This window comes from Homo sapiens, chromosome 8, assembly GCF_000001405.40.
Source record: "Homo sapiens chromosome 8, GRCh38.p14 Primary Assembly".
NCBI classification, from domain to species: domain Eukaryota; kingdom Metazoa; phylum Chordata; class Mammalia; order Primates; family Hominidae; genus Homo; species Homo sapiens.
The window spans coordinates 56,099,706-56,112,941 of NC_000008.11; the positions used below are offsets into that span (position 1 = coordinate 56,099,706).

At 44.0% G+C, this 13,236-nt stretch overlaps 1 pseudogene; it reads right to left on the reverse strand.

Moving 5' to 3' along the window:
* On the reverse strand, positions 1,206–2,656 carry NPM1P21 (nucleophosmin 1 pseudogene 21; annotated as a pseudogene).

Here is a 13,236-nt window from a genome sequence, read left to right on the forward strand (position 1 = left end):
TGGCCAGGCTGGTCTTGAATTCCTGACCTCAGGTGATCCAACTGCCTCGGCCTCCCAAAGTGCTGAGATTACAGGCATGAGCCACCATGCCTGGGCTGCTGCCCTCTACTTTTGACTTTAGAAAGTGGCTGGAGAAAAGTGAATTCCTGGCACAGTTAAAAGGATGTTTACCATGATTCAGTTAGCTTGAGAAAACTGGATGAAAAGGAAGGCAAGTAGTGTGATACACGAGAGCAAGGAACAGTTAGGGAAGTGGATTAAAGGCGCTTTAAGGCAGGTTGTGCAGATTGAGGTTTAACTTTATGTTTCAATATTTGTTACTATTACATTCTATTCTTTTTGAGTAAGCAATACATTGACATAAAATCAAATATAAATGGTATGCAGTGAAAACTCCCATTCCTATCCTTGCTCTGTCTGTCTCTTTTCCTTACCACAGATAACGACTTTTTTTTTTTCCTTTCTGGAGTTATTATGTAAAAGTATAAAAAACATGAATATCTATTTTTATTCCCCCTCTTTCCTTCACAAAAGGAAGCATATTGTAACATACTCAGTTGCATTCATTACCATCTTACATCTTGCTTTTAATTTAAAAACATATTATGCAGCTTTATCAGTAACAGTAAAACGCTTCTTTTTTTATTTCTTCTCATGTACATAGTGTTTTATGATATGGATGTATCATCAGCTAACCAGTTCTTATTGATGGAGACTTGACCTGCTCTCATTTTGCTCTTACCAAAATGCTGCAATGAATAAACTTGTTCATATGTCTATATAAATAAATCTCCAGAAGTATGATTATTGGATCACAGGGTAAATAATTTTGTAATTTTTTTATTCATTCAAATATTTATTGAACAGCTAAGGAGATACAAAGGTGATTTAAAACATGGTCAGAGGTGGCCGGGCGCGGTGGCTCACGCCTGTAATCCCAGCACTTTGGGAGACCGAGGCAGGTGGATCACGAGGTCAGAAAATCGAGACCATCCTGGCTAACATGGTGAAATCCCGTCTCTACTAAAAATACAAAAAATTAGCCGGGCATGCATGCGGGCGCCTGTAGTCCCAGCTACTCGGGAGACTGAAGCAGGAGAATGGCAGGGTGAACCCAGGAGGCAGAGCTTTCAGTGAGCCGAGATCGTGCCACTGCACTCCAGCCTGGGAGACAGTGAGACTCTGTCTCAAAAAAAAAAAAAAAAAAAACATGGTCAGAGGTGATGCAAATGCACAAGTAATAGAAAGCAAAGGGCAAGGTTCACCGAATCACAGCAGTCAGAAGAAAGTGCTTTAGGGAACCAAGAGTGAGATTGTTTCCAGCCTGAAGAGGCATGGGTGGCAAATCAGAAAAGGGGATTGGGATTAAAATAGAAGACTTCAGTCTGGATTGTTGATGACACTCAGTATGGACTATATTGGTCTCTCCTTTTCCTTTCTCCCCATCTTTGGGCTTAATTTACCAGTAGTGCCCAGGACTGTTCAATGCACTTTTTCTATACTTGCTTGCATTTTTGCTCTGATGTCTTCTACAGAACTAGGTCCTTTTGGTGTTTTAGGAGTTTTTCCTGTTTTTTGAAGGAGTCTTGTCCTTTTGATCTTGGTGTTAATGATGGTTTTGAGTCTTTTCCATTCTGATTTAATTTTTGTCCTTTTTTGGCTAGAGTGTCTTGTATAGATTGCTTCACTGGTGCTTTCTCTTCAGTTCCCTCATCATCAAAATCATCATCATCTTCATCATCATCATTATCATCATCATCATCATCATCTTCATCAGCAGCAAGTTTTACTTTTTTCTGTGGAACCTTGCTACCACCTCCAGTAGCAGACCGCTTTCCAGATATACTTAAGAGTTTCACATCCTCCTCCTCTTCATCTTCTGACTCTGCATCTTCTACCACAGCTACTAAGTGCTGTCCACTAATATGCACTGGCCCTGAACCACACTTCAACTGTAAGACCACTGGTTATGTTATTTCAAATCCCCCAAGGGAAACCGTTGGCTGTACAGACATTTTCAAAGTTGCCAGTGTTACTTTAATTGGGCTGCCTTCGTAATTCATGGCCTCTGCTTCAACAATGTGCAATTCATCCTTTGCACCAGCCCCTAAACTGACCGTTCTTTTTTTTTTTTTAGACAGAGTTTCGCTTTGTCGCCCAGGCTGGAGTGCAATGGCACGATCTCGGCTCACCACAACCTCCACCTCCCGAATTCAAGTGATTCTGCTGCCTCAGCCTCCCAAGTAGCTGGGACTACAGGCATGTGCCACCATGCCCAGCTAATTTTTGTATTTTTAGTAGAGACGGGGTTTCACCATCTTGGCCAGGCTGGTCTCAAACTCCTGACCTCGTGATGCACCCACCTCAGCCTCCCAAAGTGCTGGGATTACAAGCATGAGCCACCGCGCCCAGCCTTAAACTGACCATTCTTAAAGATAACTGGTGCTCATTTTCATCATTATCCACCTTAAAGTGATAATCTTTGTTGGCCTTCAGTTCACAACCGAAAAGATAGTTCTAGGGCCTCAGGAGGCTCATGTCCATGTCCATCAAATCTTCCATCGGGTGGCAGCACGCACTTAGGTGGCAGAGAAGGGGGACAGAGATAAATGACCACTGCTCAAGAGAACAGCTGCACAGGATGGAATCACACCAGCAATTTTGTAATTTTAATAGATGTTCCCAGATTATTTTCCCTAAAGTCTGTACTTCCACCAGCAATATCCAAGAGTGCCTAGGCATTTCCCCATGGTCCCCATGCCTCACCAATTATATTTGTCAAATTTTTGTATTTTGGCCATAATGGAAAATGGTATTGAAAGGTAGTTTTAATTAGCAATTTTCATATATTTAAGAATCACTCATATTTCTATGTCTGTGAACTGATCATTCATCTGTTGGTCTTTTCCTTGTCAAATTCCAGAAACTCTTTTTACACTAGAGGGATTCACCCTTTGCTGTAATATGAGGTACAAATCCTCTCCTCCAGTTTGTTATTTCTCGTTAATCTTTATTTATATTGTTAATTTTCTTTCTATGAAGACATGTTCCCTGTTTTTGTAGTTGAAAACATCAATTGTTTTATTTATGGCTTTAGGAAGACTTTTCTACTATGATGTTATAAAAGAATTTACTGTTCTGGTACTTCTTATGACTTCATTTTTGACACTTAAGTCTTTGATGCATTGGGGAATCTATCCTGATTGACACGGTTTGAATCTATGTCCCCACTCAAATCTCACATTCAATTGTAATTCCCAGAGTTGGAGGCAGGGCCTGGTTGGAGGTGATTGAATCATAGGGGTGGATCCTCTGTGAATGATTTAGCACCATCCTCTCGGTGCTGTTCTCATGACAGGAAATGAGTGAGCTATCATGAGAACTGGTTGTTTAAAAGTATGTAGCACCACCTGCCCCCCCCAGTCTCTCTCTTGCTCTTGCTCTACCCATTTAAGACATCCCTGCTTCCCCTTCGCCTCTACCATGATTGTGTGTTTCCTGAGGCCTCTCCAGAAGCTGAGTAGTTGCCAGCATCATGCTTCCTGTACAGCCTGAGGAACTGTGAGCCAATTAAACCTTTTCTTTTTAAACCACCCAGTCTCAGGTATTTCTTTTTTTTATTTATTTTTTATTTTTTTATTGATCATTCTTGGGTGTTTCTCGCAGAGGGGGATTTGGCAGGGTCATAGGACAATAGTGGAGGGAATGTCAGCAGATAAACAAGTGAACAAAGGTCTCTGGTTTTCCTAGGCAGAGGACCCTGCGGCCTTCCGCAGTGTTTGTGCCCCTGGGTACTTAAGATCAGGGAGTGGTGATGACTCTTTTTTTTTTTTTTTTTTTTTTTTTTTTGAGACGGAGTCTCGCTCTGTGGCCCAGGCGGGAGTGCAGTGGCGCAATCTCGGCTCACTGCAAGCTCCGCCTTCCGGGTTCATGCCATTCTCCTGCCTCAGCCTCCCGAGTAGCTGGGACTACAGGCGCCCACCATCACGCCCGGCTAATTTTTTTTGTATTTTTAGTAGAGACGGGGTTTCACCGTGTTAGCCAGGATGGTCTCGATCTCCTGACCTTGTGATCCGCCCACCTCGGCCTCCCAAAGTGTTGGGATTACAAGCGTGAGCCACCGCGCCCGGCCTGGTGATGACTCTTAACGAGCATGCTGCCTTCAAGCATCTGTTTAACAAAGCACATCTTGCACCGCCCTTAATCCATTTAACCCTGAGTGGACACAGCACATGTTTCAGAGAGCACAGGGTTGGGGGTAAGGTCACAGATCAACAGGATCCCAAGGCAGAAGAATTTTTCTTAGTACAGAACAAAATGAAAAGTCTCCCATGTCTACTTCTCTCTACACAGACACGGCAACCATCCGATTTCTCAATCTTTTCCCCACCTTTCCCGCCTTTCTATTCCACAAAACCACCATTGTCATCATGGCCCGTTCTCAATGAGCTGTTGGGTACACCTCCCAGAAGGGGTGGTGGCCGGGCAGAGGGGCTCCTCACTTCCCAGTAGGGGTGGCCGGGCAGAGGCGCCCCTCACCTCCCGGAGGGGGCGGCTGGCCGGGCGGGGGGCTGACCCCCCCACCTCCCTCCCGGACGGGGAGGCTGGCCCGGCGGGGGGCTGACCCCCCACCTCCCTCCCGGACGGGGCGGCTGGCCGGGTGGGGGGCTGACCCCACCTCCCTCCCGGACGGGGCGGCTGGCCGGGTTGGGGGCTGACCCCCCCACCTCCCTCCTGGACGGGGCAGCTGGCCGGGCAGAGGGGCTCCTCACTTCCCAGTAGGGGCGGCCGGGCAGAGGCGCCCCTCACCTCCCTGACGGGGCGGCTGGCCGGGCTGGGGGCTGACCCCCCCACCTCCCTCCCGGACGGGGCGGCTGGCCTGGCAGGGGCTGACCCCCACCTCCCTCCCGGACGGGGTGGCTGCCGGGTGGAGACGCTCCTCACTTCCCAGACGGGGTGGCTGCCGGACGGAGGGGCTCCTCACTTCTCAGACAGGGCGGCTGCCAGGCAGAGGGTCTCCTCACTTCTCAGATGAGGTGGCCGGGCAGAGACGCTCCTCACCTCCCAGATGGGGTCGCGGCCGGGCAGAGGCGCTCCTCACATCCCAGACGGGGCGGCGGGGCAGAGGCGCTCCCCACATCCCAGACCATGGGTGGCCGGGCAGAGACGCTCCTCACTTCCTAGATGGGATGGCGGCGGGGAAGAGGCGCTCCTCACTTCCTAGATGGGATGGCGGCCAGGCAGAGACGCTCCTCACTTTCCAGACTGGGCAGCCAGGCAGAGGGGCTCCTCACATCCCAGACGATGGGCGGCCGGGCAGAGACGCTCCTCACTTCCTAGATGGGATGGCGGCGGGGAAGAGGCGCTCCTCACTTCCTAGGTGGGATGGCGGCCGGGCAGAGACGTTCCTCACTTTCCAGACTGGGCAGCCAGGCAGAGGGGCTCCTCACATCCCAGACAATGAGCGGCCAGGCAGAGACGCTCCTAACTTCCCAGACGGGGTGGCGGCCGGGCAGAGGCTGCAATCTCGGCTCTTTGGGAGGCCAAGGCAGGCGGCTGGGAGGTGGAGGTTGTAGCGAGCCGAGATCACGCCACTGCACTCCAGCCTGGGCACCATTGAGCACTGAGTGAACGAGACTCCGTCTGCAATCCCGGCACCTGGGGAGGCCGAGGCTGGCGGATCACTCGCGGTTAGGAGCTGGAGACCAGCCCGGCCAACACAGCGAAACCCCGTCTCCACCAAAAAAACACGACAACCAGTCAGGCGTGGCGGCGCGCGCCTGCAATCGCAGGCACTGGGCAGGCTGAGGCAGGAGAATCAGGCAGGGAGGTTGCAGTGAGCCGAGATGGCAGCAGTACAGTCCAGCTTTGGCTCGGCATCAGAGGGAGACTGTGGAAAGAGAGAGAGAGGGAGAGAGAGAGGCAGAGGGAGAGGGAGAGGGAGAGGGAGGAGAGGGAGGAGAGGGAGGAGAGGGAGAGGGCCAGTCTCAGGTATTTCTTTATAGCAATGTGAGAACAGAATAATACACTAATAAATGATGTGAGGTCTACATCTAATTTTGGTAGTTGGCCACACAAGTCTCCCAGAATAATTTTATTGAACAGTCCATCTTTTTTGGCCAGGTGCCGTGGCTTGTGCGTGTAATCCCAGCACTTTGGGAGGCCGAGGCAGGAGGATCTCAAGCTCAGGAGTTTGAGACTACCCTGGGCAACACGGCTAAACCCCGTCTCTCCAGAAAATATAAAAATTAGCCAGGCATGGTGGTGTGTGCCTGTAGTCCCAGCTACTTGGGAGGCTGAGGTGGGAAGATCACTTGAGCCCAGGAGGCAGAGGTTGCAGAGAGCTGAGATTGTGCCAGTGCATTCCAGCCTAGGCAACAGAGCCAGACCCTGTCTCCAAAAAAAAAAAAAAAAAAAAAAGAAAAAGAAGAAAAAAAGAAAGTCCATCTTTTCTCCACTGACTCAAGACACCATCTTTATTGCAGACAGAATTCCCATATGTGCTTGTGACTGACTTCTTGGACTTCTATTCTGTGTATTTTAATTTTAATTTTAATTTTAATTTAATTTTTTTTTGAGACAGAGTCTCACTCTGTCACCCAGGCTGGAGTGCAGTGGCACGATCTTGGCTCACTGCAACCTCTGCCTCCCAGATTCAAGCAATTCTCGTGCCTCAGCCTTCTGAGTAGCTGGGATTACAAGGGCCCACCACCATGCCTGGCTAGTTGTCATATTTTTAGTAGAGACAGGGTTTCACCATGTTGGCCAGGCTGGTCTCAAACTCCTGGCCTCAAGTAATCTGCCCACCTCGGCCTCCCAGAGTGCTGAGATAACAGAGGTGAATCACCATGGCTGACCTATTCTCTTGAAATGGTCTGTCTATTCATATATCATGCCACAATATTTTTATTATCTAGGTTTTATAGAACATATTAATATCTGATAGAGCTAGTGCTCCCTCATTGCCTGTCTCTTTCTGAACTTTCTTGATCTTTTTAAACAAATAAATTCTTTAACATAAATTTTATGGCCAGGAGCGGTGGCTCACACCAGTAATCCCAGCACTTTGGGAGGCCGAGGCGGGTGATCAGTTGAGGTCAGGAGTTTGAGACCAGCCTGGCCAACGTGGTGAAACACCGTCTCTACTAAAAATACAAAAATTAGCTGGGTGTGATAGTGTGGACCTGAAATCCCAGCTACTCAGGAGGCTGACGCAGGAGGCAGAGGTTGCGTGAGCCGAGATCGCACTGCTGCACTCCAGCCTGGGCGACAGAGTGAGACCCCGTCTCAAAAAAAAAAATTTACAGTCAGCTTGTCTCATTTCCAAATTAAACACATCAGTTTTATATTTATATATAAATACTAGTTTATATTACTTTATATATAAAATTGGAATTGTTTTAAATATATGTTAACTTAGGGCGAATAGTCATCTTTATGGCAAATCTTTATTCAAGTATATAGCAGTCTTTTCATTTCTTTGAGGCCTCTTATATACCTTTCTAGTATTTTTAAGATTTTGCCCTAAAGATTTTGCACGTTTTTATTAAGCTTTAACTAGGTATTTTTATTTTTTAGTTTGAAATAATTTCAAACTTACAGAAAAGTTGCAACGGTAATACAAAGATCTCCCAAATTCTCCTTGTCAGGGCTCTGAGCCCAAGCCAAGCCATCGTATCCCCTGTGACCTGCACGTATACATCCAGATGGCCTGAAGAATCACAAAAGAAGTGAAAATGGCCAGTTCTGATGACGTTCCACCATTGTGATTTGTTCCTGCCCCACCTTAACTGAGCGATTAACCTTGTGAAATTCCTTCTCCTCGCTCAGAACCTCCCCCACTGAGCACCTTGTGACCCCCGCCCCTACCTGGAAGAGAAAAACCCCCTTTGACTATAATTTTCCACTGCCCACCCAAATCCTATAAAACAGCCCCACCCCTATCTCCCTTCGCTAACTCTCTTTTCGGACTCAGCCTGCCTGCACCCAGGTGAAATAAACAGCCTTGTTGCTCACACAAAGCCTGTTTGGTGGTCTCTTCACACTGATGCACGTGACCCTCCTCATTCAGCAATGGTTCCCCGATTGTTAAATTTGACATTTACTTTATTCTTTCTACATACAATTATTTCTTATTCTGAATCATTTGAGAGTAAGTTGAAGACATAATACCTTATTACTCTTTTAGCATTTCACTGAGTATTTCCTAAAAACAATGGCTTTCTCCAACATAACTGCAGTGTAACTATCAAAATCAAGAAATTTTGTTATAATACTCCCGTGTAATCTAGAGATCTCATTTAAATGCATCAGTTGTCCTAATAATGTTTGTTATAGGACCACAATCCAATCCTGGATTATGTGTTGGACTGGGTTGTCATGTCCTTTTATATGGAACAGTTCCTCAGTCTTTCCTTGTCTTTTATGACCTTGATACTTCTGACATGAGCAGGCCAATTTGAGTGTATAATTGTTTCCTCTTGATTTGGGTAAGGTTATATGTCTTTTGCAGGACTACCACAGAAGTGGTGCTATGTTCTTCTCAGTGCGTCATATCAGGAGGCACGTAATGTTTGTCAGTTTGCCCCATTACTGGTGATATTATCTTGAGTAAGATACCTTTCTGTATATCTGTCTACATCACTTGTAAGATAATGTCAGTATGACTTCTTCACTGTAAGGATAATTATTTTGTGCTTATTTGCAATTAATATTTGTTGGTATTCTATTGTAAGGTAGAGCTTTCCTTTCTCCAACATTTATTTATATAATTATTTATATCATTATGGATTCCTATTTCCTTCATTATGACTATTCATTTCTAATTGATTTACCATCATTAATCATTTTAATGCTAAAATTATCTCAGGTCAGCCAGTAGGAGATCATTCAAGCCAGCTCCTGTGTCCTTATAACAGGTGTCTATCATTCCTGAGCATTTCTTTATTTGGAGGCACAAGATGTTCTGGTTCATTTTGTATTTTCCCTGCTCTGGAATCGCCATTTCTCCAAGAGGCCCTGGTTTCCTCCTGTTGTGAATAAAAATTCAGAAACTAAAAAGTCAGAATTCAGAACTAAAGTTTGGTGTTAATCTGCTCCAGAGTGTCATTACTTTAGGTCCTGTCAAAGGACAGAGCTAGGAAATACATGTATGTGCGTACACACACACACAGACCCACACACATTAATGTCTGTTAGTATATCTATCCCTATCTCTCCTTTCATCTACCTCTATTAAAAACTACATGTTCATACTGATACTTCTAAACTCAATCTGACATTTCCTATTTCAATTTCAGTAGGGTTTATTCTAGACTTCCTCATTTCTATACTTGTAACTTCCTTTTCTAACAGTTACAAATCCTGGCTCCCATTCTCCTTGATGTATTTTCTTACTTGTTTAATCCTTCTGTATATGACTAATGTCCCCACCATATTAGCCAAGTATCTCATCCTCCAGCCCTGCTATCACCAAACATGCAGTCTGTGGCTGTGTCAAAGGGAATATTTTATCTTTTTCAATGGTATTGTAAAAAGAATCTTTCTTTTATAAATTCTAGCTGATTTTTGTTTACATAGTTGAAGTCTGCTTATTTCTGTATGTTAATTTTATATCCTGCAAACTTACATAATTATTTTGTTTTAGTTTTTCTATTGTCTTGTGTTTCTTTTCCAAGTATACATCCTGAAAATAGAATCTGCAAACAGAATTTGTTTTTCTTCTCTCTTTACAGTTTTAGACCTCAAGTTTAATTTTCTTTTTAAATATCACTGACCAATAAAACGTTAAATCATAATAGCAGTAGTGGGCATTCTTACATTATTCATGACTTTAGTGGAATGATTTCCTGTTAATATGGTAGCTATTGGGCTGAAATGTGTGGTGTTCTATACATTTTTAAGTTTTTATTTTGAAATAACTTTAGACATAGAAGAATTGCAGACAGTACATAAAATTCTTGTATAACATATCCTTTATTCAGTTTTCCCTATGTTATATAATCATGGTATTAATACATTTAAAAAAATAAGAAATATAAGAAATTAACATTAGTTATGTATTTTTTTTTAAAAAAGTGGGTTAGGTAAATATCTATTCCTCCTTCTTTTGAGTCTCTTTTTAAAAACCCGGAATGAACATTTAATTTTGTCAAATGTATTCTCAGCATATGTTCTTACTCTTTTAACCTGCTAATATGATGAAGTAAGTCAATAGATTTTCTAATATGAAACTATTTTTGCATCTTAGAAGAAATCCACTTGATTAAAAATAACGTGCATGATTATAAAAATTAACTCTTAGATTCTGTGTGCTAATATTTACTTAGGACACTGATAATTTTTTACACTGATAGTTTTAAACAAGATTGACCTGTCGTTTCTTTTTTAAAAGCAGTCTTTATGGAGTTTTGATGTAAATGTTATTCTTTTTTTTTTGAGACGGAGTTTCGCTCTTGTTGCCCAGGCTGGAGTGCAATGGCGCCATCTCAGCTCACCGCAACCTCTGCATCCCGGGTTCAAATGATTCTCCTGCCTCAGCCTCCCAAATAGCTGGGATTACAGGCATGTGCCACCACGCCTGACTAATTTTCTATTTTTAGTAGAAATGGGGTTTCACCATGTTGGCCAGGCAGGTCTCGAACTCCGGACCTCAGGTGATCCACCCACCTTGGCCTCCCAAGGTGCTGAGATTACAGGCGTGAACCACCGCGCCCGCCCGTATTATCTTGCTTAATACTTATCTTTGCACTGTTAAGTATGCCTTTACCTCTGACTTGATGTGTATGTCAAAGAGCATACTTTGACTCTTAGCTGCTACAGAGGGAGCAGTCATGCACCTGTTCTACCTCTCACCAGGGTGGTTTTCCAACAACTCAGACTTCTTTCATCTGTTTGTTTCCTTCCAATATGGCATTTCTGTGGATTTCTTCATGCAGCCACAACCTTCTTTCTCTCCAAAGCAAACCGGGCCCAGAAGGCTTCTGTGCCTGTCCAGTATTCCCTGCCCTGTCCCCAGGGTGACCCCCTCCTGTCCAGCAGCTGAATTTTGCTGCCAATTTCTGAGCTCTGCATGGCTGGATCCTCCGTAACACCTGCTCTTCCTTCTTTTTCTACCAACTCCTCTAACCTCAGCACTGTTTGATCTCATTCCTGTTCTCTGATTTCTTCCCCAACATTTGCACTTCCTAGTGGGCTCCTGTTCTCCAGGGCCCCTAATTTTGCAGGTCTCTCTGGGATCTGTCACTGCTGGGTCCCTTGGTCCCCACCCCCTTGCCCTGACGCCAGCCACCCCTTATCCTTTCTGCTCTCTTTCCTTAAGGCTCCATTCAATCTTTAGTTATCACATTTTAGAGTTTGTTTTCTCTACCCCAGATTCACTGATTATGGAGCCTACAGTGTTTATTCCCCCTTCTTCATCTTGTCATTCTATGTGGTCTCCAGGTGAAGGGAAGATACTATTGTAATTTAAACTTACCAACATGAACTCCTATTGCCACAATAGTCAGAGAAGGGGGCTGGGCACAGTGGCTCAAGCCTGTAATCCTAGGACTTTGTGAGGCTGATGTGGGGGGATCACTTGAGGTCAGGAGTTCAAGACCAGCCTGGCCAACATGGTGAAACCTCGTCTTTACTAAAAATACAAAAATTAGCCAGGTGTGGTGGCACGTGCCTGTAATCCCAGCTACTGGGGAGGTGGAGGTTGCAGTGAGCCAAAATTGTGCCACTACACTCCAGCCTGGGTGATGGAATGAGACCCCATCTCAAATAATAATAATAATCAGAGAAGGGAATTCTTTATCGGTATAGGTGGTTTGTTCCCCCAACTACCTGGACAGAGTTAGCAGCACTCTGTCAGTGTTTTACATGGCCACAGACAGCTCCCTTTTGCTTTTCTGAAGAACAGTTTCAAACCATGTTCTCACTCTGTAGACTCCCCTACCCTCAACCACTCTTAACAGAAAAAAAATAGAAGTTCACAGATGTGTGCTTCCCCAGTCCCCTTTTTCCTAGGGTAAATGTGTCTATAATACCAGTGTGCCCCCACCCTTGGCTCCCATCCTGGGAAGAGATGCCCTTTCTCTCCAAGATGACAATCTCTTCCCCTAGGTACTATGCTTCATCCCTTCTACAAGTATCTAAACTTTATCAATTATCTTTGCCTCTGGTGGCTCATTTTACAAATAAAATTATTTCTTTCAACCTAAAACTAAATGATACCAGATAAAAAATCTGAAAACATTTCTGTGTCTCTGACCCCCTTTTAAGCTTCCTGCCTCTCCCTCCTTAACAGTGCATGCACAGCCTCTGCTTCAGGGCCTTGCCATTCCCTCTGCCAGCCATTGCATCAGCCTTGCTTTCCACCATGCACAGAAACTGCTATTGCTAAAAGAAAGTCAAAGCTGTCCCAATGACAAAATCCAATCACCTTCTCCTTTAAATCCTATGTACCAACATCCATTGTTTTGATGTCTAGAGTGGGCAATCTAGTTCTATTTGTCTGTTCTCTTCCATCCAAATGTTAAATTTCATGATTCCTGACATCATATAATCTTTACCTTCTACTCCTACATTTTCCTCTCACATCATATAATCTTTATCTTCTACTTCTGAGTCCCAATACCAGGTAAAAATGACCCAGTTTAGAAGTGTTTTAGCAAAATGTTTCTACTCATTGCAATGCACAAGTTAAAGATATTACAATAAGTCATTTATGATATAATTCCTTTGAATGTAAATGTACCTCAGTGTATGACTTTTATGAGTGAAGGTCATTACAAACAAGAAGTTTTACTGGGGGGAGTAGTAGGAAAGCATTACTTATTTTTTTAAAAGTTTTTACTGATTTGGTGTGGGAGCAACTACACCATTAATAGTTGGAATTTATGTGGTAGGTATGGGATATATATGGATTTATAGAAAATTTTGACATTTCTGCAGTGGAGTTCTATTTTGGACAAACTTTTATCAATAACAAATTTAAATAAATGAAATACTAGCAATGGAAAGCAAAGCACATGACTATATGAATAAGATTAGTTACTAACAGTACTGAGACAACAGGTACTAGACTTGTAGCTTTGCTAATGTGTCCTAGAAAAAGCACTGGAGACTAAAGGAGTTTTTAGTAACTTTATTTTCTAAAACTCCATCCTACAAATATGTTTTCTTCGACATCTCCACTTCCTTTAAAAACAAATAGAATCAGACAAAAACTTATCTTGACCAGGTTTTCAG